General features: G+C 43.6%; 1 annotated feature.

The window, feature by feature from the left end:
• Positions 3,493–7,360: an enhancer, noted in NCBI's record as "VISTA enhancer hs1962". NCBI's record gives its function as "enhancer in: heart[15/17] | melanocytes[7/17]" and the evidence as "EXISTENCE:transgenic organism evidence [ECO:0001131][PMID:17130149]".

Below are 26,850 nucleotides of genomic sequence, written 5' to 3' on the forward strand. Positions count from 1 at the left end.
TTATATTTTTGAGATGGAGTCTCACTCTGTTTCCCAGGCTAGAGTGCAGTGGCACAATCTCGGCTCACTGCAACCTCTGCCTCCCAGGTTTAAACGATTCTCCTGTCTCAGCCTCCCAAGTAGCTGGGATAACAGGCACCTGCCACCACACCTGGCTAATTTTTGTATTTGTAGTAGAGACAGAGTTTCACCATGTTGGCCAGGCTGGTCTCAAACTCCTGATCTCAGGTGATCTGCCCACCTCGGCCTCCCAAAGTATTGGGATTACAGGCGTGAACGAGCATGCCCGGCCTCAGGTAGTATCTTTAGAGCACTGTGAGAACTGACTAATGCATTGCATTCACTCTGATTGGAGTGGGTTAGGCTACATGCCTGTGACTATACCTTACTATACTGACTAATACAGTAAGAGATTGAGAAAACCTGAGAGGTCATAATAGTCCAAACCCCAAACATAATAGTCCAAATGGAGGTAAGGAGGCTCAGGTGTGAAGCATCTGCTGAAGGTGACACTAATGATGGATGAGGGAATGTAGACACAGAACTTGGTGATCCAGATGCCTACGGAGGGGTCCCTTCCGGCTGCCTTGCCAACAGAACACTCAGGTTAATCCAAGTCAATATTTATCAACGAAAACCCTTTAACATATTTATATTATGTTCCCTGTCTAGATCCAGCCAAATGGATCTTTTCTTCAGGCAGTTTCTTGCAGGGACACAGGGTCACCTTCTAAACATTCGTTCTCACATCTCAGAGGAGTGTCAGGGTATCGCTTGTTGCTTTTCAGGAGGTGTCCTTGAAGACTAACCTGAGATCTTTCACAGACATCTTGGTTTCTGACAAAATGTCAACACAGCTTCCTAACTCTCTTCCCTACCATTTCTGGTCTCTTCTGACTTAACAGTAGCTCCAGATCTTGGGCCACATTGTCTGTGGTCTTCGAGTACTGGAGTCTTGTGGACCTCATAATACTTCCTAGTTCAGAGCCTCGTGAAATCTAGGATTTTTCCCCTTCTGTGTTCACAATGGGCTTTTGTTCTCGGTTTCTCACATAGGGCTGGGGATTGGGGGGTCACTCTGCTGCCTCTTCCCTAGACTCTGCAGTGGAACTGACAACCCCTGGGCCACTGTTGGATCCTCAGAGTTCTGACCCTAGGAAGCCTTATGGAAGCTATAAAAGTAAGTTTACGAGAGAAAAAGTTTGTGTATGTGTGGATGTACATATCATACACACATATGCACATACAGAGAGAATAGAGACCCAGTAAAATGTGAAATGTTCTCACGTTAGGGGGATTTAAAAATATGTATGTGAGGGTGCATGTGTGTGTATACATATATATGTAGATCAAGACATAGAATATTTCCAGTCTCCCAAACTGCTTCCTTTTGCCCAACCCCCACCCTCCACCCCCAGTCAATGCCCTCATTCAGGAGCTCGTCCTTGGAGCTCGTCTGAACGAAAGCATGTGCACTTCTGTGTGTGGCTTCTTTGCCTCCACGTCATGTCCATGAGCTTCATTCATGTTGTTAGATTTTAGTTGACAGTTTACCACTTTCTCCCAGGAGTTAAAAAATTGCAAAAACTCCAAGTAATTAAAGGTGTGATTTTTTTGGATAATCAGGATATTCAGTATTTACATTTATCATATTTGGTCCTAAATATGCATAATTGCCTTCAGGATATGACCAGAAAAAAATAGCAAACACAGACATCCTACTAATTAGCAGGCAAATAAGAAAATGTTCAATCTCGCCAGTAATCCAGGAAGTACAAGCTAAAAGAAAATGCCATATAAGTATTTTAAGTACTTAAAATTATTTTTTGTTTGTTTGTTTGAGACAGGGTTTCACTCTGTCACCCAGGCTGGGGTGCAGTGGTGTGATCTCAGCTCACTGCAACCTCTGGCTCCTGGGTTCAAGCGATTCTCCTGCCTCAGCCTCCTGAGTAGCTGGGACTACAGGCATGTGCCACCACGCCTGGCTAATTTTTGTATTTTTAGTAGAGATGGGGTTTTGCTATGTTGGCCAGGCTGGTCTTGAACTCCTGACCTCAAGTGATCCACCCACCTCAGCCTCCCAAAGTGCTGGAATTACAGGCGTGAGCCACCACGCCTGGCCTAAAATTATTTTTTAAATGAAAATATTTGATGCTAGCAAGAGTTCAATAAAATGGGAACTTTCAAATTCTCCCAGTGATAATCATAAATTAGTACAATTCTTAAGGAATGAAATTCAAAAGCCTTTAAAAGTCTTCATTCCCCTTTAACATTTCCCTGATTATGACTCTAAAGCAAGGAAATAATTTTAAAGATAGAAAAGAGCTTTTGAACAAAGATGCTCATCCAGTATTCTAAATAGTATGAAAGTAAGAAACCACCTAAATATCCAGCACTTGGGGGAATAATTATAAAAAGTGCAGTAAGTTCACTCAGTACAATATCATATTGTCTTAAAGGACTGGCAATGATCACATCTAATTAGCTGTAGGGCAAAGACTGAGAAAGTTGTAGAAAGTTAGCAAGTTGGCTGGGCATGATGGCTCATGCTTTTAATCCCAGCACTTTGGCAGGCCAAAATGGGAGGATCGCTTGAGCCCAGGATTTTGAGGCTGCAGTGAGCTATGATCACACCACAGCACTCCGGCCTGGATGACAGAGCGAAACCTTGTCTTGAAAGAAAAAAAAAAAAGAATGCAGGTCTCCCTTAAAACCTGCTGAGTAGAATTGACTGTTTTGTTTTACACATACTGTTACAACCTGGAATTCAGAGATTTATCATCCAACAATGGGTTTATTAAGCTATTTTTTAATTAAAAAATGTAAAGTTTGTACTGTGGTAGGAGAATACATGTAAATTAATCTCAGTTCCTAGCATATTTCCTGATCAAAGTAGGTGATAATAATTATTATCATATTTATGACTAATATTCTTTGTTTTATTTTATTCAGGCACATGCTCTAAATATTATTTATTTAGAGACGTGTCTCAATATGTTACCCAGGCTGGTCTCAAACTCCTGGACTCAGCCTCCCGACTAGCTAGGATTACAGCTGCATGCTATTTTGTTGCTTTATTTTAATGCTAAGTGCTGACTATATGGGGAAGGGCTTTTTTTTTTTTTTTTTTTTTGGAGACGAAGTCTCGCTCTGTCCCCAAGGCTGGAGTGCAGTGGTGCAATCTCAGCTCACTGCAAGCTCTGCCTCCCGGGTTCATGCCATTCTCCTGCCTCAGCCTCCCGAGTAGCTGGGACTACAGGTGCCCGCCACCACGCCCGGCTAATTTTGTGTATTTTTAGTAGAGACGGGGTTTCACCGTGTTAGCCAGGATGGTCTCGATCTCCTGACCTCGTGATCCACCCGTCTCAGCCTCCCAAAGTGCTGGGATTACAGGCGTGAGCCACCGCGCCCAGCCTAGGGGAAGGGCTTTAAGTGCATTGCACGATCTCATTTTATATGTTTTGTAAAGCCCACCCATACACAGCGTTTCAGTCCATTTTTCTCCCAGGCATTACGCCTGTAAGTTGGGTACAATGCCACTGTGAAATGGTGGTGTCTGAGTTATAGTTTAGGGATGCTAGCAGCTGGGTTCCAGGTTTTGATGCAATAAAGAGAAGAAAACTGCGCACAGAAACCAGGGAAGTGGATTTCCACTGTCCAGCCTGGCTTACCCATGGGACAGGAGCTGTAGGAGCCCAGATCCCCAGATACCTGTGGAAAGGGGCTGTGCTGGATCTTTGCTGGGGCTCCTATCTGGCGTGGACCCCGCCATCTGAACATCAGCCGAGCAGTGTTTGCTGCATGTGGCAGGCTGAGCCCCCTAAGAGTACAGTCACAAGGACAGGAATTACAGGAAGGCCAGGTCTATCTGTTTGTGTGGTTTCTCTGCACAACAGGTCAGCGAGCATGGAAACTATGAAGCCCTGGGAGGCAAAGGGTGTGCAAGTTCTTCCATTGGAATTGCCCGTTTATAAGTTCTCCCCCGCAACCCCACACACAGACAAACCTGCGGCTTCAAGTCCTGTGGATTCACCCAGGTTTGCCCCTTTTCAAGCCAAACCAGGACAAAGAATTCTGTCTTCTTGGTGCTACTTCTTCTTTTTTTAAAAAAAAAATACATTTCACAAAGCTGGTTCTTTGCTTAACGCTACTGGGGTCATCACAAAAAAAGACCAGCTTTATGAGTCCTACTTCTTGGGAAAGACCCTGGCAGTGCTTTCTGCCATCCTCTCGAGGGTGTGGTGGATCTTGTTCAACCCATTCAGCAAAGTGCTGGGCCTCTGAATGGCACAGGCTTTAGAAAAACCCAGCTGAGGGAGGCTGAGGCAGGAGAATCGCTGGAACCTGGGAGGTGGAGGTTGTAGTGGGCCGAGATTGCGCCACTGCACTCCAACCTGGGTGACAGAGTGAGACTCCGACTCAAAAAAAAAAAGAAAAACCCAGCTGAGAACCCTGTGTAGAAATCTGAAATTAAGGGGCATTGACCTCTTTTTAATTCTTTTAAAAATAGTTTAGAAGCTAAATACTCCTAGAATTGTAAAGAAAAAGGGTCCCTAGTGCATTCCTCTTCACTTCTAATTCTCCTCCTTTTTGTTTTTTCTGCTATTTGCTCCTTTTTTAAAAAAAAATTCTTTTCTTTCTTTTTTTATGTTTGTTTTTATTTTTCTTTTATTCCCCTTTAAATTTCATATTGACAATATAGCAGCGTTCAAGAGCATAGCTCTGGGGTCAGGCAATATGTCAGTTAGCTATTGCCACAATAATGCTGCATAAAAAGCCACCCCCAAACTCAGTGTCTTTTTTTTTTTTTTTTCTCCTTTGAGTCAGGGTCTCACTCTGTTGCCCAGGCTGGAGTGCAGTGGTGCGATCTCGGCTCACTGCAACCTCCGCCTCCTGGGCTCAAGTGATTCTCATGCCTCAGCTTCCTGGGTAGCTAGGATTACAGGCGCCTTTCACCACACCCAGCTAATTTTTGTATTTTTAGTAGAGACGGGGTTTCTTCATGTTGGCCAGGCTGGTCTCAAATTCCTGACCTCAAGTGATCTACCTGCCTTGGCCTCCCAAAGTGCTGGGATTACAGGCGTGAGCCACCACGCCCGGCCTTACTCCTTATTTTTAAAATACAAGCATATCCAGTTCTCTGAATATTTCAAGCTCTCTCAATATTTCAGTTTTCCGTATCTTTCTCGTGTGAAAGATGAAGATCTAGAGTGTTTCATCCGCACCAGCTCCCACCTACACTCCTCCTCTCACAGATTTTGATTAAATCAATATGTAGGGTTTCCATTATTCTAACTGTCAATTTCATTCAGGGCTAGCAGAACCAGCCAGAGAGAACTCCTCTGTGCCTTCTTCCGTGCCTTTTGCCCTTTTGCATCACTTTGCTTTGTTTTACTGATTTTGGGTGTGTAATCATCTTCCGTTTTCTCCCGAAGTCAGTCCCGTCCCCTCCAAAGCCTCGACTGTGCCCATTCTGCGGAGTCTGTGAGCTGATCAAAGAAAAGCTTGAGTCATCCCCTTCCCAAGGGTACTTGCATAATTTTATTAGGAAACACTTAATGATGAAAAAAAAGAAAAGTTCAGGACTGAAGAAAGGGAGTTCGTAAAGCAGAGTTCCAGGCAGCTGAGTGAGAAATTTGGGGGCTGGGATACTCGGGTGGCCTCCCTTACGTTCTATCTGCTTTGCCCATATTTGAGAGGAGTCCTCAAGCCATGAAGGGGTTAAGAGCCAGCCAGTGGGAAAAACTAGGAGGGGAGGCAGAAGGGAAGGACAAAGGAATCTAGGGCCTCTGAAGGCAGGCTAGCTGGCTGGAACTGGCCCATCCCTCCCATGACTTGCTAAATATAGCTGTTAAGTCATCTGCAGCCCCACGGGGTCATTCTAACAGAGGAGCTGGGCAGGGGAATCAGCGGTGGTTTGCAGTTCCAGGTCAGAGGTGTCTTGGAGAAAGCACCATTGGCACATTCTCTCCCTGCGATTTGTTCCTCTGAGCTCAGTGTGACCCTTGTGTGTGGTGTCCACCCTGAGCACTGCATGCCCCTCCATGCCCCCTAACATGACAAAGCCAGGCTGTCCCCAGCCAACTCCGATGGCATCCCTGCATTGCACTCAGTTCTTTTGCTGAGGAACATTCCCCACTGAAGCAGGACAGACCCATGCAAAGTGCTGATGGACAGGGGTCTCTGCTGACAGCGCACAGGGCCAGCCCCAAGCTCAGGGGCCCCTGCTGGACTCTCTTCCTGGAGTGGGATTCGGAGGAAAGAGGTCATTCTGGAGAACTGGGGCTGCTCTCCCTACTTGTTTGTTTCTGGGTGCAACCACAGGCCGGTGTCACCGCGTCCTCTCGCTGACATGCGTTGGCTCAGAGCAATGTTCAGTGAAGGAGCTGAGCACAGACTTTGTCAACTGGAAACTCATGTTCTCTGTTAAAAAAAAAAAAAAAAAAGAGAAAGGAAATCTATTGGGGAAAGGGCAAAGAGAAAGAGATGGATTCAGAGAGACCAGTCATATTTCACAGTAAGAAGAAATTCTTGGCAGGGCGTGGTGGTTCATGCCTGTAATCCTAGCACATTGGGAGGCCAAGGCAGGCAGATCACCTGAAGTCAGGAGTTCAAGACCAGCCTGGTCAACATGGCAAAACCCTGTCTCTACTAAAAATACAAAAAATTAGCCAGGCGTGTAATCCCAGGTACTTGGGAGGCTGAGGCAGGAGACTCACTTGAGCCCGGGAGGTGGAGGTTCCAGTGAGCCGAGATTGCACAACTGCACTCCAGCCTGGGCAACAGAGCGAAACTGTCTCAAAAAAAAAAAAAAAAAAAAAATTCTTGATTTTTGGAAATGGCTTTTTCTTTAAGACAGAAGTTTTTGTATCCTTAGATGAGATGTTAATAAAATAGTATTCCTCTTTTATGCAGACACATGGGTTCTGTTTATAAAAGAAAGCAGACATTGTCTCTGGCCATGCACGTTAGGGGAGGACTGTTCACACACACACGCACAGACACACACACACACTCTCTCTCGCGAGTACAGCACTAGGCACTTTGTAAACATGTGCCTATTCAGGGCAGACCTGGGTTAGGACATTAATTTGCTTCCCTGAAGTGTTTCCCTGTTTTGTCTGAGGCCTGCAATCACTGGTCACCAGTAAGGGTGTTCTAAAGGGTCGGTCCCACTCTTTTGCCGTATTAGTGGCCTTACTGGACAAAGGTCAGTGAAATGTCTCCAAGTAGCGGCAGCCAGCCCAGAGGTTTCTTCCTGATTATCACCTCCTCTCAGTAACTCCCCAGAAGCAGCAGGAGGGTTGCAAGTTTCTTCTCACCTTTGTTGGAAGGCTGCTGTAGGCTTCCACAGATCCCAACAGCAAGGTTTCTCAGACTCCCATGTACATCTTGTTTAAAACGCAGACTCTGATTCAGGAGGGCTGGCTGGGGCCTGGGAGTCAGATTTTTTTTTTTTTTTTTAAACAGAGTCTCACTCTGTCACCCAGGCTGGAGAGCAATGGTGCAATCTCGGCTCACTGCAACTTCCACCTCCCAGGTTCAAGTGGTTCTACTGCCTCAGCCTCCCGAGTAGCCGGGAGCAGCTCCTGGCCTGGGAGTCAGCATTTCTAATCAGCTTCCAGAGGACGCCAGGGCTTGGTGCAAACAACACTTTGAAAAGCAGGCCGGGCGCGGTGGCTCACGCCTGTGATCCCAGCACTTTGGGAGGCCGAGGTGGGTGGACCACCTGAGGTCAGGAGCTCCAGACCAGCCTGGCCAACATGGTGAAACTCTGTCTCTACTAAAAATCCAAAAAAAAAAAAAAAAAAAAAATTAGCTGGGCATAGTGGCATGCCTGAAATCCCAGTTACTTGGGAGGCTGAGGCAGGAGAATTGCTTGAACCTGGGAGGTGGAGGTAGCAGTGAGCCGCGATTGTGCAACTGCGCTCCAGCCTGGGTTACAAAGTGAGACCTTGTCTCAAAAAAAAAAAGGAAAGACAAGGCCCGGAGGACCTCGTTATAGAAGCGCTGTGTGTCCAGAGCACACCTGCGGATTTCATCCAGCTTTGTGAAGCTCCCCTTCCTCCCCATGGACTCAAGCTCTCCTGGCTGCTCTGGAACTCCTGGTCTATGTTTTTTGTTTTGTTTTGTTTTGTTTTGCTTTTTTGTGAGATGGAGTCTCGCTCTGTGCCCCGGGCTGGAGTGCAGTGGCATGATCTTGGCTCACTGCAACCTTCTCCCCCTGGGTTCAAGCAATTCTTGTGTCTCAACCTCCCAACTAGCTGGGACTACATGTGCACGCCACCACGCCTAGCAATTTTTAGTAGAGATGGGGTTTCACCATGTTGCCCAGGCTGGTCTAGAACTCCTGAGCTCAGGCGATCCACCCACCTCGGCCTCCCAAAGTGCTGGGATTACAGGCATAAGCCCCCACGTCCAGCACTCCTGGTCTGTGTTCTGTTCTTGTTCTGCCCAAGGACTGAGTGACCCTACACATACTGCCTTCCTCCTGCTTCCCATGGAAACTTATTGAATCAATAATAATAATATTGCCCACCTGCTAAATTCTACACTGGGCACTGTGCTAACATGAATCGTCACAGATGGGGTGTGTGGCCACCATACTGCAATCCAAGGAAGGACACCGAGTTTCTGAGAAATGAGCTGATGACTCTAATTATGGCACCCTGCTTGTGCCCCGTTAAGAGCACAGGTGGCAAATGCCCAGAGATCTGAAGAGTGGGCACCTTCTTGGACTCTGGGCACAGTTCTGGAACCCGTGCCTAATTGTCTTCTGTGTGAGACTACAGCCTCACCAAACAGGACTCCTTGCATCCGGGCACTGGAGCTGGGGTGCTAGGGCCCCCAGAACACTGCCACGTGAGGTTGAGAATGAGCTTAGCAGGGTTACCATACACCCATGAGGCAGAGAAAAAACAAAAGAGGTGACAATCTTCAGATTTTGAGGCTTTGGGAAAGATGCCCCCAGTGGAAAACAGGCTTATCTCAGAAAGCTGCCCTTGCTTCCACTTTCAGCTCACAGTAGGTCCTGGCATTCCTTTGTCGTTTTCCCCATTCCAGAAGATGGAGTAAGAGAGTAAGGGAAGGGATTTGTTTACTCTGGAGTCTTTAATACTCAACTGTCCACTGCAGTGATGGAAAAAGGGGACACAGGCCCTCTACACACAAACACCAAAGGTCAAAAGGTCAGGTGAGCCCTTCTGACCTCACATGAACACACACAGGTATGTGCACACATATGCACAAGCATGCACACACATGCGTGTGCACACACACGCACACACACGATTTGCCAAACAAATAAAGGATGCAAGATGGGAGGGGAGATATTATACTTGGAAACAAACTTTTATTATTATTATTATTTTTTTTTTTTTTTGGAGACAAGTCTTGCTCTGTCGCCCAGGCTAGAGTACAGTGGCACCAACTCGGCTCGCTGCAATCTCTGCCTCCTGGGTTCAAGCAATTCTCCTGCCTCAGCCTCCTGAGTAGCTACAACTACAGGTGTGTGCCACCACGCCCAGCTCATTTTTTTGTATTTTAGTAGAAATAAGGTTTCATCATGTTGCCCAGGCTGGTCTCGAACTCCTGAGCTCAGGCAATCTGCCTGCGTTGGCCTCCTAAAGTGTTAGGATCACAGGCATGAACCATTGTGCCTAGCCTGTTTTATTATTTTTTTATTTAAAAAACAATTTTTGAGACAGGGTCCTGCTCTGTCACCCAGGCTGCAGTGCAGTGGCACAATCATAGCTCACTGCAGCGTTGAACTCCTGGGCTCAAGTGATCCTCTTGCCTCAGCCTCCCAAATAGCTGGGACTACAGGCAAGCACCACAACACCTGGCTAATTTGGTATTTTTTTGTAGAGACAGTGTTTTGCCATGTTGCCCAGGCTGGTTTCAAACTCCTAAGCAATCTTCCCAAAGTATTAGGATTACAGGCGTGAGCCAACTCAGCCGCCCAGAAACAATCTTTTAAAGAGAATCTGGGGAGAAGCCATCGTCATATATCTGTGTCCTCATCACTTGCGTGAGTCCTGACCCACCCCTCACTTCATTAAACTTAACGTGGAAAATGATCAATTGTACTCATTTTTGTCTGTATTCTTGCTTCTCTCAGCTCAGTCTGTGCTCTCCTCGGGGTATCCTGGGAAGTAAACCATCCCTTTTCCTTTCTGTAACACTTCACTTTAATCAAAATCTATTTTATCTGCTGGACGATAGCTCCCTCCTCCCCTGGTATGACATTCCTCTCACTCTCCACCTTCCTAGGGGCCTCTCCTTTTCCTGGGTCCCCGTCCCTTTTCCCAACTAGTTCTTTCATCAACTCTCGGCAGCTTCCATGGATGTCCACACCATTCTGTTCACGCGCCTTTCCCAATCCTTCTTCCTGCTCAACATGCTCTAGGATCTTCTTCAGAGGTCTTAGTCTTTCCCCTTTCCATTCTAGAAACATCCATAAATTTCCTTTCCTTGCAGTTCTTCAGCCTCCACAGGTCTAGAGACCTTTATCTCCACTCATTCCACATCATCAAGACACAAACAGATGACCAGGCAGAGCTGCTCCAGCCCCACGCTCTGAATTCCTGAAATTCTCCTCTGCCCTGCACGTCTCACGCTGTCTTCCTCTTGCTCAACCAGAGATCTCATCACTCCCCTCTCACTATTTCCTCCATGACTCCAGTCTTAATTTGTGTGCTCACCCAGCCTAGAGACTTCCGCCTCTGAGCCATCCCCCTACTCCCTGATGAGTCCCAACCCCCACCCCCCGCCTCCCTGGTTTCTGTGAGGCTCTCCCTCCAGGGTCCCAGCTTCATCTTTCCCACTTTCTCCTTCCCAGACCTTATGTGGTCCCCACTCTGGATAACCTGTCCCTTCCACTTTCTCTCCTCTGCTGGGAGGCCACCGACAGAGGGTCCTTCTTGGTGGCTGGGTTTACTTCTAGCTCTTATTTATTTCATTTTATTTTTGAGACAGAGTCTCGCTCTGTCACCCAGGCTGTAGTGCAGTGGTTGCAATCTTGGCTCAGTGCAAACTCTGCCTCTGGGGTTCAAGTGATTTTCCTGGTTCAACCTCCTGAGTAACTGGGACAACAGGCGCCCACCACTGCGCCCGGCTAATTTTGTATTTTTAGTAGAGACAGGGTTTCACCATGTTGGCCAGGCTGGTCTCGAACTCCTGACCTCAAGTGATCTGCGTGCCTCAGCCTCCCAAAGTGCTGGGATTACAGGCATGAGCCACTGTGCCTGGCCTACTTTAACTTCCATGAAGGTTTCAATAACTCCTGGCAGTCCTTAGGCATCTCTGGCTCCTTCACATTGCTCTGAGTCCCAGCCCATTTCTGCCCTCTCCTTCTCAGATATCCTTCTTTACTGAAAATATTGTGATTATCTGAAGTAAGAGGTTGCCTCATTTTCTATCTCCCTGCCAGCCTTCTCTTAGTTAGAATATTTATTTTCAGCCTGGAACACTGTCATAACCTCCTGACTGCAGGACCCCATTCTCTCCTCACTCCAGTGCACTGTTGGACTTATTGTTTCAAAGACAACATTCCTCCCTTGCCTAAAAATCTTCAGGTAGGCCAGGCATGGTGGCTCACACCTATAGTCCCAGTGCTCTGAGAGGCCAAGGTGGGAAGATCACTCGAGGCCAGGAGTTCAAGACCAGATGGACAACAGAGCGAGACCCCATCTCTGCCCCTCCCCAAAATAATTTTTTTTTTAAATTAGCTGGGCATGGTGGTGCATGCCTGTAGTCCCAGCTACTTAGGAGGCTGAGGCAGAGGATCACTTGTGCCCAGGGGCTTAAGGCTGCAGTGAGCTATGATTGTACCACTGCACTCCAGCCTGGGCAACAGAGCGAGTGAGATTCTGTCGAGGAAGGAAGGAAAGGAAAGAAGGAAATCTTTAGATGTCTCCTGGCCACCAAATAAAATCTAAATGCCTTGACCTGCCAGCATGGCTGTTTTCCCCACATACCCCATTTTGTCTGCCACTAAATCTTTGCTTGTGCTATTTTCTCTAGCTCCAGGGCCTTCTCTCCCAATTGCCACATGATCTAATCTTGTCTTACCTCAGAGGCCAGCGCAAAACCCATCTTGGCCAAGAAGTTGTCCCTAAACCCTCCTGCTAGAAGGGACTGCTCCCACTTTTGCTTTCTTACAGCTCTTGAATCCTCCTGCAGCATTTATAACCTTCCACCTTATCCTCCAGTTAATGCACAGGAAGGTAAGTTCCTTAAGGGCCAGGGCCCGTTCTACACCTCGGTACAGACCCCACAGCAGTAGCACAGTATATGAGCCACAATGCTAGTCTATTCAGGATGTTTCTATTTTTATTTTTAATTAATTCATTAATTAACTTTTTTTTTTTTGAAACAGGATCTTACTCTGTTGCACAAGCTGGAACGCAGTGGCACAATAATAGCTCACTGCCACCTTGACCTCCTGGGCCCAAGAGATCCTCCCACCTCAGCCTCCCAAGTACTGGGGACTACAGGCACATGCCACCACACCTGGCCAATTTTGTTTTGTTTTGTTTGTTTGTTTGTTTGTTTGTTCATTTTTAGAATTGAGGGCTCTGTATGTTGTCCAGGCTGGTCTTGAACTCCTGGCCTCCAGTGATCCTTTCACCTTGGCTTCCCAAAGAGCTAGGATTATAGGCATCAGCCACCATGCCCAGCCCAAGATGCTTTTCTAACAAAGGCAAAAAAAAAAAAAAAAGTACATTAGATAAACACACGCACAGTTGCTTACAGACAGCAGTAGGAAGTACACGGACTGCTGGGCCTCAGAGAAGCCTGGAGCCAGGGGCTGGAATTCAACAGGATACATGTTCCTGCTCTATCACTATTTCTCTCTGCATGTGGAGTCATTCTGCTGCAGCCAGGATACCCCCATGTAGTTTGAGGACCCCCAGGTCACACATACCAGGCTTCTAGCCCCAAAGACTATGGACTCTGTTCCCTCAGTTCCTCTTTTTAAAATCTTAGAGAAAAAAATTAATGCAATAAAAATCTTAGAGAAGTGCTCTAATGGGTCCAGTGTGGGTCAGGTGTCTGCCCCTGGACCCATCAGCTATGGCCAGGGGATTGGGTGACTCAGTCTATGCACAGCCCACTCCTGAGTTCTAGAGTCACTTTTAGAAAGGGGGAATCTTCTTCCGGGCATGGTGGCTCACACCTGTAATCCCAGCACGTTGGGAGGCCAAGGCAGGTGGATCACTTGAGGTCAGGAGTTCAAGACCAGCCTGGCCAACATCGTGAAACCCTGTCTCTACTAAACATACAAAAAAATCAGCCGGGCATGGTGGTAGGAACCCGTAATCCCAGCCACTCAGGAGGTTGAGGCAGAAGAATTGCTTGAACCCAAGAGGCAGAGGTTGCAGTGAGCCGAGATCGTGCCATTAGACTCCAGCCTGGGCGATAGAACGAGACTCTGTATCAGAAAAAAAGGGTGAATCTTCATGAGCACCCCAAGAATTCTAGCACACTTGTACCCAATAAATGTATAATAAATATGTGTCATTAATATTTGTATTATCATGAATTATGTAGTTGTGCTATAAGAAGTCAGTTACTGCTTGGGGTGCCTCTGTCATTTTAACCATATCCCTTATTCTTGCCCGTTCATTAACACAGGACTTCTAATAGTTCCACTTGATCAGCTTAATTTCAATTAGTATATATGCTTGAAAGGAATAAACTTGGCTCTTTCTTAAAGAACTCTTAAAATGAAACTTTAGCTGGAGATCTTACCTCCAGCTAAAATGGATTGGTAAAGTTTCCATGTAGGTATATCAGACTAAAAATGACATCAAGCCCACTGTTGCCTTTTTAAATTACAACTTTTTATTGTTGCACAAATTCCTTCCATTTTTACTGATTTCTTCTTCTCCAAGTCCATGGGCATCCTATACCTCAAACCCCAGCATTTCTGGGTTTGATTTGCTATATGGGAGAGTATCTCTGTGTCTTTTGTCCACGTTATTATTTGTTATGAAAAATTATGAGCATGTTCCCTAAGACTAGGTTTTCTAGCATGGTTCCTTATGGCCAGGGCTGTGTGACTCTCAGATTGGAAAGTGTGTCGAGGAATGAGTTGGTTTTGTCACTTTTAGCTTTTTTACACTTTGAGCTCTTTGAAAGCCCAGGCACACATTTTGACCCCTTTTATGAATGCCCTCTCCATGGAAAGTAAATAAATGAATTACCCAGAACTTCTGGCCCTTGGGTCCTTGAGGGTTGGAGGAATGGCAAGAAAAATCTTTTGTATCAGCCAAACACTTACAAGCAAGGGAAGAAAGGAAGGAAGCACTTTATGCAAAAGCCAAGCATCTATTAATGTATGAAAATGAAATTAATTTAGCCAGATGACACATAGTCCAAATATCTACACAATGAATTGAATTTGTTTCCCCATAGATTTGGGGTTGCCAGATTTAGTAGATAAAAATAATAATGCCCAGTTAAATTCGAATCTGAAATAAACCATTTTATAGCAGGCAGATAGATAGATAGATAGATAGATAGATAGATAGATAGATAGACAGATAGATAGATGGGCATTAGTATAACTATGTCCCATAGTTTAGTTTAGCAATACTTGGAACATACTGTGATGGTTAATTTTATATGTCAATTTAACTGTCCAAAGGGTGCCAGATATTTAGTTAAACATTATTCTTGGTGTTCCCGTGAGGGTGTTTCTGCATGAGATTAACATTTGAGTCAGTAGACTGAGCAAAGCAGATCACCCTCCTCAGTGTAGGTGGCCCACATCCAATCCATTGAAGGCCTGAATAGAACAAAAGTCTTGAGCAAGAGACAATTCACTCCCTCTCTCTGCCTGGCAGTCTTTGAGCTGGGACATTGATCTTCTCTTGCCTTGAAACTTGAACTGGAACTTACACCATTAGCTCTCCTGATTCTCAAGCCTTTGAACTATGGGTCTTGGGACTTCTCCGCCTCCATATCACGTGAGCCAGTTCATTAAAATAGGTAGGTAGGTAGGTAGATAGATAGATAGATCTATTGGTTCTGTTTCTCTGCATAACCTTCATGAATACAATATTTATTATACTAAAGAATAAATTTGTAATTGAAAATTGTAGTTTATATGAAATTCAAATTTAATCAAGTATCCTGTCTTTTATCTGGTAACCCTGCACAGATCAGATATTTTGGCCTTGTATAGGCACAGTCTGAATTTTACTTTTAAGCTAATAATGACTTTGTTAAAGATATATATCCATAGGAGCTAAGTTCTTCCCATGGTTTATCCACTGTCTTTGAAATTGAAATTTAGACTGTTCTTCTTCATTCCAAGCCTTTCTTTGATATAGCTCACAGCCTCAGCATGGGGCACTAAAGCATGGTTTAATAATGGATAAGTTGAGTTAATGCTCCATTCTGTTAGTGTGCTCTTTATTAATTTGCCTCTAACTTCGAGTGCATCATAGTGTTTAGTCCAGGGTCACAACCTTTCACCCTCTTTTATGCTTCTAAATAGTGATGATGCAGTCTTCTATTCAAGGACCATTTGTCAAGCGTATATTTCATGTAAAGCACATTTCTAGACTCTAGGGGCATACAAAGATTCATAAACTTCATTCAGTGACTCTATATTTGAAGCCTATGGTGCCAAGCACTATTCAAGGTGTTAGGAGTGTGATAGAGTTTCCACCCTTGAGGAACAAGGGAGTTGAGGAGGACACATCAGAGAGGGTGGTAGAAGAAACCAAGATCCTTGACCCCAAAGGACATGCTATTCTGCTAACTGCCAGGGTTTCATTTTCCTGAATGGAATATACAAGCTAAATTTTTTTTTTCACTTTTACTTTAGGTTCAGGAGTACATGTACAGGTTTGTTATATAGGTAAATTGCATGTCACCGGGGTTTGGTGTACAGATTATTTCATCAGCCAGGTGATAAGCATAGTACCTGAAAAGTGGTTTTTTGATCCTCACCCTCTTCCCACCCTCCACCCTCAACTAGGCCCTGGTGTCTGTCGTTCCCTTCTTTGTGTCCGCGTATACTCAATATTTAGCTCCCACTTATGAGTGAGAACATGTGGTGTTTGGCTTTCTGTTCCTGATTTAGTTTACTAAGGATAACGGCCTCCAGCTCCATCTGTGTCTCTGCAAAGGACATTATCTCATGTTTTTTTATGGCGGCGTAGTATTCCATGGTGTATATGTACCACATTTTCTTTATTCAGTCTACTGTTAATGGACATTAAGGTTGATTCTATGTCTTTGCTATTGTGAATAGTGCTACAGTGAACATACACGTGCACGTGTCTTTATGGCAGAGTGATTTATATTCCTTTGGGCATATGCCCATTGATGGAATTTCTGGGTTGAATGATAGCTCTAAGTTCTTTGAGAAATTACCAAACTGCTTTCCACAGTGGCTAAATTAATTCCACAGTGGCTACCACAGTGGTAAATTAAATTACCTTCCCACCAGCAGTATATAAGCGTTCCCTCTTCTTCGCAACCTCACTAGAATCTGTTATTTTTTGACTTTTAAATTATAGCCACTCTGACTGATGTAAGACGGTATATCATTGTGTTTTTGATTTGCATTTCTCTAATGATCAGTGATGTTCAACTGTTTTTCCATATGCATGTTGGCCACATATATGTCTTGTTTTTAAAAGTGTCTATCTGTTCATGTCCTTTGCACATTTTTAATGGGGTTGTTTGATTTTTGCTTGCTAATATGTGTAAGTTCCTTATAGATTCTGGATATTAGACCTTTGTCAGATGCATAGTTTGCAAATACTTTCTCCCATGCTGTAGGTTGTCTGTTTATCCTGTTGATAGTTTCTTTTGCTGTGTAGAAGCTCTTTAGTTTGATTGGGTTCTATTTGTCAATTTCTGTTTTTGTTGCAGTTGCTTTTGGCATCTTCCTCATGAAATCTTTGCCAGTTCCTATGTCCAGAATGATATTTCCTAGGTTTTCTTCTAGGGTTTTTATAGTTTTAGGTTTTACATTTAAGTCTTTAATCCATCTTGAACTGATTTTTGTGTATAGTGTAAGGAAGGGGTCCAGTTTCAATCTTCTTCATATGGCTAGTCAGTTCTCCCAGCACCATTTATTGAATAGGGACTCCTTTTTCTATTGCTTGGTTTTTTTTTTTTTTTTTTTTTGGTTTTTTTTTGTTTGTTTGTTTTTTTGTTGTTGCTTTTTTTTTGTTGGTGGTATGCATACGATGTAACCTCTTTTTCACAGATTCCATAGACTCTTCAATAAAACATCAATTTTCTCTTGAATGTGTTATGAGATAGAATGTGTTTTGGATGATATGACAAAGTGATGAGTATGGCCTCAAAGTGGATGTAAAGTAAAAGCCAAGGCCTTCAATGGGAGGCCCACCCTATCTGGGTTACATCATGGGAAGCCTCACCTCCCCGAAGAGAGACAAGGAATCTAGCTGCATTTCAGATTAAATTGCTAAGAAGACAATCTCACCATCTGTGCCAAATATCTGGATTTTTGTTTAAGAGGGTGAAAATAGCCTGGCAGGAGCCACAGTGGTCCTTGGCATCATTAAGTTTCTTTTGTTTCAAGCAAACCAAGGCTGGTTAGACAAGAAAAAAAGAGAGGATGTAGGGAGAAGAGACTGCTGGTTAGACCATCTTGAAATTACATGGAGTAATTCACACACTCATAGGAATTGCTGAACAGCCAGGCCTTGGGAAGGAAAGAGCGACAGGGACCACGGCTCCTCTAGTGGCCTCGGGGGGGTCGTAGACATTTTTCTGGGCTGCTGCCATCATGTGTTTCAGCCCTACTTAGTTATCATCTCTGTTCATGTTTTCAAGTTTCTGTGAGAGTATAGTTTGAATCAGAGGTTTCTACCCCTTGAGAACAGTTAATGCAGAAGTGGCCCATGGAGGGATTGATTGATTGGGCAGTCTCTTGTTTTCATGTCTCCCACCTATCTCATGGCTAAATGGAAGTAGTGTAATCTTGGATGCTTATACTGCTTCTCTTAGTCTGTTAAGTGTTGCTATATAGGAATACCTGAGGCTGAGTAATTTCTAAAGAAAAGAAGTTTATTTAGCTCACAGTTCTGTTGTCCAGCAGGTTCAAGACTGGGCATCTGGTGAGGGCCTCAGGCTGCCTCTGCTCATGGTAGAAGGGGAAGGGGAGTTGGCATGTGCAGAGATCACACAGCAAGAAAGGAAGCAAGAGGGAGCAGGAGTGGGGCCAGGCTCTTTTTAACAAGCAGCTCTTACAGGAACTAATAGAATTCACTCACCCCTCCCCACACACACCCAGGGAAGGCATTAATCTATTCATGTAAGGGAACAACCCCCCATGACCCAAATGCCTTCCATTAGGCCGCACTTCTAACATTGGGGGTCAGATTTCAATGTGAGATTTAGAGGGGTCAAACATCTAAACTATGGCACTGCTGTATCTTTCTCTTTGATTAACTGAAAGATTTTCCTCATTCCATTCCATTGGGCAGAAGCAATATTTGAAGAGATAGTAACTAGACATTTTCGGAACTGATCAGATACTGATCTAGACATCCAGGAAGCCCATTGAATCCCAAGCAGAGTAAGTAAACGTTCTTAGATACATCATAGTGAAATTGCATAAAACTAAAGAGAAAAATTATAGAAAGCCACCAGGAAAAAAGGAGAGAGAGAGAAAGAGAAAGAGAGAGAGACAAGAAAAGATTACCCTCTACCTTTCCCCCACAACCACTAACCTGGAAGTTATGCACTCTGTTTCTGTTCTTTTGTTGGTTACCCTAGAAATTTCAATTTGGATACTTACTATGCCAAAGTTTCAGTTAATCAATATCTGTATCTTTTCCCAACCAATACAAAAACCTTGGAATACTTAAATTCCACTCCCCCTTATCTACTTATAAATTATTACTTTTTATTTATTTTAATTCAATTTTTAACACACAACTAAACATTACTAATTATGATCTTCAATTGTCAGTTTATTTGCATTTACCACGTTCTTTGCTCTTCACTCCTTTTGTGTCTCAAACATGTTATATGGGATTACTTTATTTCTGCCTCAAGTATATCCTCCATCATTTCCTTTAGGAGGTTTTTTTAGTAATGAACTAACAATTTTTATTTATCTGGAACATTTATTTTGTCCTTATTCTTGAGAGATATTTTTACTTGGTATTCAATTCTAGGCTGGTAAATTATTTTTTCAGTATATCACAGATATCATATCACTGCTTTGCTGGCTTCCACCGTTGCTATTGAAAATCTGCCTTCAGAAAGGACTCGTATCCAGAATCTACAAAGAACTCAAACAAATTAGCAAGAATAAACAAACAATCCTATCAAAAAATGGGCTAAGGACATGAATAGACAATTCTCAAAGGAAGATATACAAATGGCCAACAAACATATGAAAAAATGCTCAAAATCACTAATGATCAGGGAAATGCAAATCAAAACCACAATGCAATACTACCTTACTCCTGCAAGAATGCCCATAATAAAATTAATTAAAAAATAATAATAGATGTTGGTGGGGATGCAGTGAAAAGGGAACACTTTTATGCTGCTGGTGGGAATGTAAACTAGTACAACCACTATGGAAAACAGTGTGGAGATTCCTTAAAGAACTGAAAGTAGAGCTACCATTTGATCCAGCAGTCCCACTACTGGGTATCTACCCAGAGGAAAAGAAGTCATTACATGAAAAAGATATTTGCATACGAATGTTTATAGCAGGACAATTTGCAATTGCAAAAATATGGAACCAACCTAAATGGCCATAAATCAATGAGTGGATAAAGAAATTGTTGTATATATACATATACCATGGAATACTATTCAGCCATAAAAAGGAACGAAATAATGGCATTTGCAGCAACCTGGATGGAATTGGAGACTGTTATTCTAAGTGAAGTAACTCAGGAATTGAAAACCAAACATCATATTTTCTTACTTATAAGTGGGAGCTAAGCTGTGAGGATGCAAAGGCGTAAGAATGATACATTGGACTTTGGGGACTTAGGAGAAAGGGAGGGAGAGGGGTGAGGGATAAAAGGTTACAAATTGGGTGCAGTGTATACTGCTCAGGGGATGGGTGCACCAAAATCTCACAAATCACCACTAAAAAACTTACTCATGTAACCAAACACCACCTGTTCCTCCAAAACCTATGGAAAAAATAAAAATAAAAATAAAATAAAAAATAAAGAAAATCTGCTGTCAGTCTAGCTACTGCTCCTTTGAAGCCAATCTTTTCTTTCTTTGTCTCTTTCTTTTTCCTGGCTACTTTTATGATTTTTCTCTTTAGTTTTATGCAACTTCACTATGATGTGTGATAGAGTTTGGATCTGTGTCCCCACCAAATCTCATGTCAAGTTGTGATTTCAATCCCCAGTGTTGGAAGTGGGGCCCGGTGGGAGGTGATTGGATTATGGACGTGGGTTTCTCATGAATGGCTTAGCACCATCCCCTTGTGCTGTTCTCATAATCGTGAGTGAGTTCTTACAAGATCTGGTTGGTTAAAAGTGTGCAGCACCTTCCCCTCTCTCTCTTGCTCCTGTTCCCACCGTATAAGACCTACCTGACTTCCCTCTCCCTTCCACCATGATTGTTTCCTGAGTTTCCTCAGGCCTCCCCAGAAGCCAAGCAGATGCAAGCATCATGCTTCCTATACAGCCTGTATTTTTTTTTTCAGCCACCTCTTTTGCTTATTCTTTCTTTTTAAAAATATTTTATTATTATACTTTAAGTTCTGGAGTACATGTGCACAGCGTGCAGGTTTGTTACATAGGTATACATGTGGCATGTTGCTGCACCCATCAACTCGTCATTTACATTAGGTATTTCTCCTAATGCTATTCCTCCCCCAGCCACCCACCCCCCGACAGGCCCCGGTGTGTGATGTTCCCCTCCCTGTGTCCACGTGTTCTCATTGTTCTACTCCCACTTATGAGTGAGAACGTGCAGTGTTTGGTTTTCTGTCCTTGTGATAGTTTGCTGAGAATGATGGTTTCCAGTTTCATCCATGTCCCTGCAAAGGACATGAACTTGTCCTTTTTTATGGCTGCATAGTATTCCATGGTGTATATGTGCCACACTTTCTTTATCCAGTCTATCATTGATGGGCATTTGGGTTGGTTCCAAGACTTTGCTATTGTGAACAGAGCTGCAATAAACATACGTGTGCATGTGTCTTTATACTAGCATGATTTATAATCCTTTGGGTATATAGTAATAGGATTGCTGGGTAATGAGATGGCTGGGTCAAATGATATTTCTAGTTCTAGATCCTTGAGGAATCACCACACTGTCTTCCACAATGGTTGAACTAATTTACACTCCCACCAACAGCATAAAAGCGTTCCTATTTCTCCACATCCTCTCCAGAATCTGTTGTTTCCTGACTTTTTAATGATCGCCATTCTAACTGGTGTGAGACGGTATACAGCCTGTAGAATGGTGAACCAATTAAGCCTCTTTTCTTTATATATTACCCAGACCCAGGTATTTCTTTACAGCAATGTGAGAATAGACTAATACAATGTTTCTACTTATGTTTTACTTATCCTGCTTGGGATTCAACGGGCTTCTTGGATGTCTAGATCAGTATCTGGATCTGTTCTGAAAATGTCTGGTTACTATGTCTTCAAATACTGCCTCTGGCCAATTCTTTCTCCCCTTCCTTCTAAAATTCCCTTTTAACATTATCTTTTATGTCTCTTAACCTCTCTGTCATATTTTCCATTTTTAATTCTTTTTGCCTTCAGAAAAATTAATTTTGCTCTTTAACTAATTGTTTCTTCAATTGTGTCTAACCCATCACCGAACTTTTAATGTTGGCGAAAGCCTAAACTTAGATATTTTAAAAATCCTTAGTTATTTTTAAAATCCTTAGTTTTTTATTTTTACTTTTATTTTTATATATTTTATTTTATTTTATTTTTGAGACGAAGTCTCACTCTGTCACCTAAGCTGGAGTGCAGTGGTGTGATCTCGGCTCACTGCAACCCCCGCCTCCTGAGTTCAAGTGATTCTCCTGCCTCAACCTCCCAAGTAACTGGGATTACAGGCAAGTGCCACCACGCCCGGCTAATTTTTGTATTTTTTGTAGAGATGGAGTTTCACCATGTTGATCAGGCTGGTCTTGAACTCCTTATGTCAGGTGATCCGCCCACCTCAGCCTCCCAAAGTGCTGGGATTACAGGCATGAGCCACCATGCCCAGCCAATCCTTAGCTATTTTTAACATCCTTAGTTATTTAAAAAATATTTGACACAGTCAGCAAAGATGTTTTATAATTTATAACTGCTCATTCAATAATATAAAGTCTACATGAATTTTTTTGGCTCTTTTTTGTTTCTGTTGGTTTCCTTGTGGGCCTGGATATCTTTAATTATGTGCTGCTATTGGCCTTAGAAAATGATCTGGGGAGATGCTCTGTGGCCTAAGATGAAGGTGCCCTTCTTCCAGGAGAATTTGTGTATGCCTCTTTTAGGTACAGAGGTACCTTTCTGTCTGGTACTACTCTAAGCTTCATTCAGGGTTTAAGGTTCCTTAGACTACCCACATCTTGTGAATTCGTGGGAGGAACTGTAATTACAACTTCCCATGGATTTTATATTTATCCCTTGCTCCTTCTGGCCGAGTTAAATTGACCCAAACATCTCAAGGGTAGAAGCAGGAAGGTGGTTTCACCTTTGAGAGTCTCTTTTCATGCAGAGGCTTCCATTAAATCTTTGTCTTCAGAGGGAACTGCATGTTAGCTTCTGCCCTTCTCACACTGAGGGTCTGTGAAAACCACTGCTCTGTTTCTCAGACCAATTTGGCAAACACTGTCAGGACAAAAGTAGTTCAGAGTGCTCTGCTGGCCTCTGGATTTTTTGCATTTTCTTAACTTTTAACCTGATATTTTTTTAAAAATTGATCAGTAATTTTATGAAGATTTAAAAAATTTGTTGTCATTATTTTTATTATTTTTATTATTATTTTTTTGAGACGGAGTCTTTCTCTGTCATCCAGACTGGAGTGCAGTGGCAGGATCTTGGCTCACTGCAGCCTCCGCCTCCTAGGTTTAAGCAATTCTCCTGTCTCAGCCTCTCAAGTAGCTGGGATTACAGGTGTGCACCACCACACCTGGCTAATTTTTGTATTTTTAGTAGAGATGGGGTTACACCATGTTGGCCAGGCTGGTCTCAAACTCCTGATCTCAGGTGATCCACTCTCCTTGGCCTCCCAAACTGCTGGGATTACAGGCGTGAGCCACTGCACCAGCCTTGTCATAATTTTTAAATACTCTTCAGCAAAGGGTAGCTCTGAAAAACCTGACTTACCATGAAGAAGTCATCTGGACACATAGGGTGAACACTTCAGCCAGTTTAACCTCTCTCTGGGAAATTAACACTGCATCCTCTGCTGGGAGGCAAAGCTACCCACTCTGCATCAATCAAGTGTTTAGTGATCTTTGGAAGACTAGAGGTTTGTAACTGTCTTGAGGCAAATAATTCTAAAAAAACAACCTTGCAGGTGGCCAGATTTTTCATTCTGAGGTCTTTAAAATACTTCTCCCATCCTGCACCAAAAGGGCTCCCTCCACGTATAAATTCCACACCTGGAAAGAGGAAGCATCTGGTGGGTGACCTACCTATAGTAGACTTTCCCCCACAGTCTCTGGCCCCCATCATGGTAGATATATGGCCCGTTCACACTTTATTCCTCATGAGTGGAATTTGCCTCAAGAAAGAGGGGCACTTGCACCTTGCAAAAGCAGGTTCTATCCTTGTTTTGTTTTTGAATTGGCTACATCCATATTTCTGGGGTTTAAGTGTTTTTATTCCTTCCAAAATTCATGTTGGAACTTAATCCTCAAGGTAACAGTATCAGGAGGTGTGGCCTTTGGAATGTGATGGAATCATGAGGGCTCTGTCTTCTTGAATGGGGTTAGGTGCCCTAATAAAAGGGCTTGACAGAGGGAGCTCATCCTTCTTGCTCTTCTGCCTTCTGCTAAGTGAGGACACAGCATTCCTCCCTCCAGAGGATGCAGCATCAACACACCATCTTGAAAGGAGAGAGCAGCCCTCAGCAGACACCAGACCTGTCAGCACCTTGATCTTGGACTTCCCTGCCTCCAGAACTATGAGGAATAAATTTATTTTGTTTATATTAATAAATTACCCAGTCTGTGGTATTCTATCATAGCAACACAAAACAGACTAAGACATATATCGAGGCTGTGTGGGAAAAAGAAGGCAGATAGGCAAGAGAGTTGGTAAGGAGAAGATGGAGAATTTGATTGTTTTTGCTCTTGGTGTTCAAATGCCCTTCCCTGTCTTTCCATAGGATTTTGAGCAAGTTAATCATTTCTCATGGTTAACTTGTGTTGAATTGTCTCTGTTTGGTGGAGATGAAAAAAAAATTAATGAATATGATGTCACGATTGGTTTGAGACTGCCCCCGGAAAGCTGAGCATATCTGCTTTACTTACTCATTTGTTTACCTGTTTGGCCCCTGTAGCTACTGGAACTTGCAACCCTTGATGATGATGGTAATATTAGGTACCCAAGAGAATGAACTCAATGAGGAGATGGGAACTTTCATTTAAATAGCACAGGGGAATGAAATATTTAGCCAGGAAGACTTTGAAATGAGATGTTGCTTAAGTAGAATATCTCAAAGAGAAGACAGTCATGATAATCATTTGCAGCTACAGATTCAAGTTCAGCTAGCATTTACCAAATACCTATTGTGCAGTAGGCATTAGGCCAGGCATTTTGATTTTTTAATTTTTATTTATTTATTATTTTTTAAAGTAGAGACGGCATCTCACTATGTTGTTCAGGCTGGTCTCGAAGTCCTAGCCTCAAGAGATCGCCGGGCACGGTGGCTCACACCTGTAATCCCAGCACTTTGGGAGGCCAAGTGGGGTGTGGATCACAAGGTCAGGAGTTCGAGACCAGCCTAACCAACATGGTGAAGCCTTGTCTCTACTAAAAATACAAAAATTAGCCGGGTGTGGTGGTGGGTGCCTATAATCCCAGCTACTCAGGAGGCTGAGGCAGGAGAATTGCTTGAACCTGGATGGCAGAGGTTGCAGTGAGTGGAGATTGCGCCACTGCACTCCAGCCTCGGCGACAGAGCAAGACTCCATCTCAAGAAAAAAAAAAAAAAATCTTCTGCCTCGGCCTCCTAGAGTGCTGGGGTTACAGGCATGAGCCACTGTGCCTGGCCTAGGCTGGGCATTTTAAAAGGCAGAACCCATTAAATTCAGAACAAAAGAATTATGCCCCTTCTTTGGTGTTGAGCAGGGAAATGTGAAAAAAGAAAACTATTTTAGGACTAAGGAAGGAAGGTTTTCAATAGACATTATGCCATATAGGGAAAAATATTTCAGAAATATTTCCTGGAGGCTCAAGGGCACAATTTAAAGCTCAAGCTTGAATAATACACCACTCAACTAAATCTTTAGTTTTTCTGAAGAATGTGGTAAGAGTATTCTACATAAGAGATTTGCATTTTCTCCATAGTAGTTCATCTTGCATGTTAACTTTAAGGAAAGATTGTACAACATGTTGTTTCTATGAAACCCACTGTGCATGAGAAGAGGACTCTCAGAACACAGAACAAAAGTGCCATGCAACTCTGTTAGGAAAGGAAACACATGTGTCCACATGGGGAGGTATTTCTGCAGGAAAAAGCACTCCATGTCCTTCTCTTTGATAGTGTGTATTATACACTTTCTTTTTTTCTTTTTTTTTCTTTTTTTTTTTTTGAGACAGAGTCTGACTCTATCGCCCAGGCTGGAGTGCAGTGGCGCGATCTCGGCTCACTGCACCCTCTGCCTCTGGGGTTCAAGCGATTCTCCTGCCTCAGCCTCCCAAGTAGCTGGGATTACAGGCCTGCACCACCACGCCTGGGTAATTTTTGCATTTTTAGTATTTAGTAGAGACAGGGTTTCACCATGTTGGCCAGGCTGTTCTCAAACTCCTGACCTCAATTGATCCACCTGCTCCAGCCTCCCAAAGTGCTGGGATTACAGGTGTGAGCCATTGCACCTGGCCTATACACTGTCTTTCACTCTAGCTATTTGTGTGTGCCTTCCATCTCATACTCAACTTCTGGCTTCTTGGGATCTGGGGTGTTATTTTACCACAGTACCTAGCACAATGACTTGCCTATCACAGGCAATAATTAATAAGGGACTGCATGGAGTGCACATATTAATGCTAGATGTGACTCTGCCTCTAAAGATGGGATGAACTCAAGTGTAGCAGATGCTTGTTCTTTTCATCTTGCCAGTGTTTGTTCTTCCTACTTCTCAATGTCAGAATCCAAATTTTTATTGGTTATCTATTCCTTGCCCATGCAATCTGTACCTTTTGGGGAAAACCTGAACTTACTTCTGGCTCCAGGGGCAAATCCTGTTTGGCTTAGACCAATTATGACATTCTATCATCCTCCTGGCCCCAGGGATTGGGTCAAAGATGAGCAGGTTCCCTGCTCCAAGCCAATGAAATGCAAGATGTGATGATGCTTGCTGGAGATTTCAAGGAAAGAAACTTTGTTATTCGTCTGTGGATGCTATGGACAGAGATGCTCTTTTCTACCCTGATATGAATAAAGAAGCCTAAGTTGGCCGGGCACAGTGGCTCACGCCTGTAATCCTAGCACTTTGAAAGGCCAAGGCCTGTGGATCACCTGAGGTCAGGAGTTCAAGACCAGCCTGGCCAATGTGGCGAAACCCCACTTCTACTAAAAATACAAAAATTAGCCAGATGTAGTGGTGCATGCCTGTAGTCTCAGCTACTCAGGAAGCTGAGGCAGGAGAATTGCTTGGACCCAGGAGGAGGAGGTTGCAGTGAGCCG

The sequence above is a fragment of the Homo sapiens genome, chromosome 8, assembly GCF_000001405.40.
Source record: "Homo sapiens chromosome 8, GRCh38.p14 Primary Assembly".
In the NCBI taxonomy this organism is placed as follows: domain Eukaryota; kingdom Metazoa; phylum Chordata; class Mammalia; order Primates; family Hominidae; genus Homo; species Homo sapiens.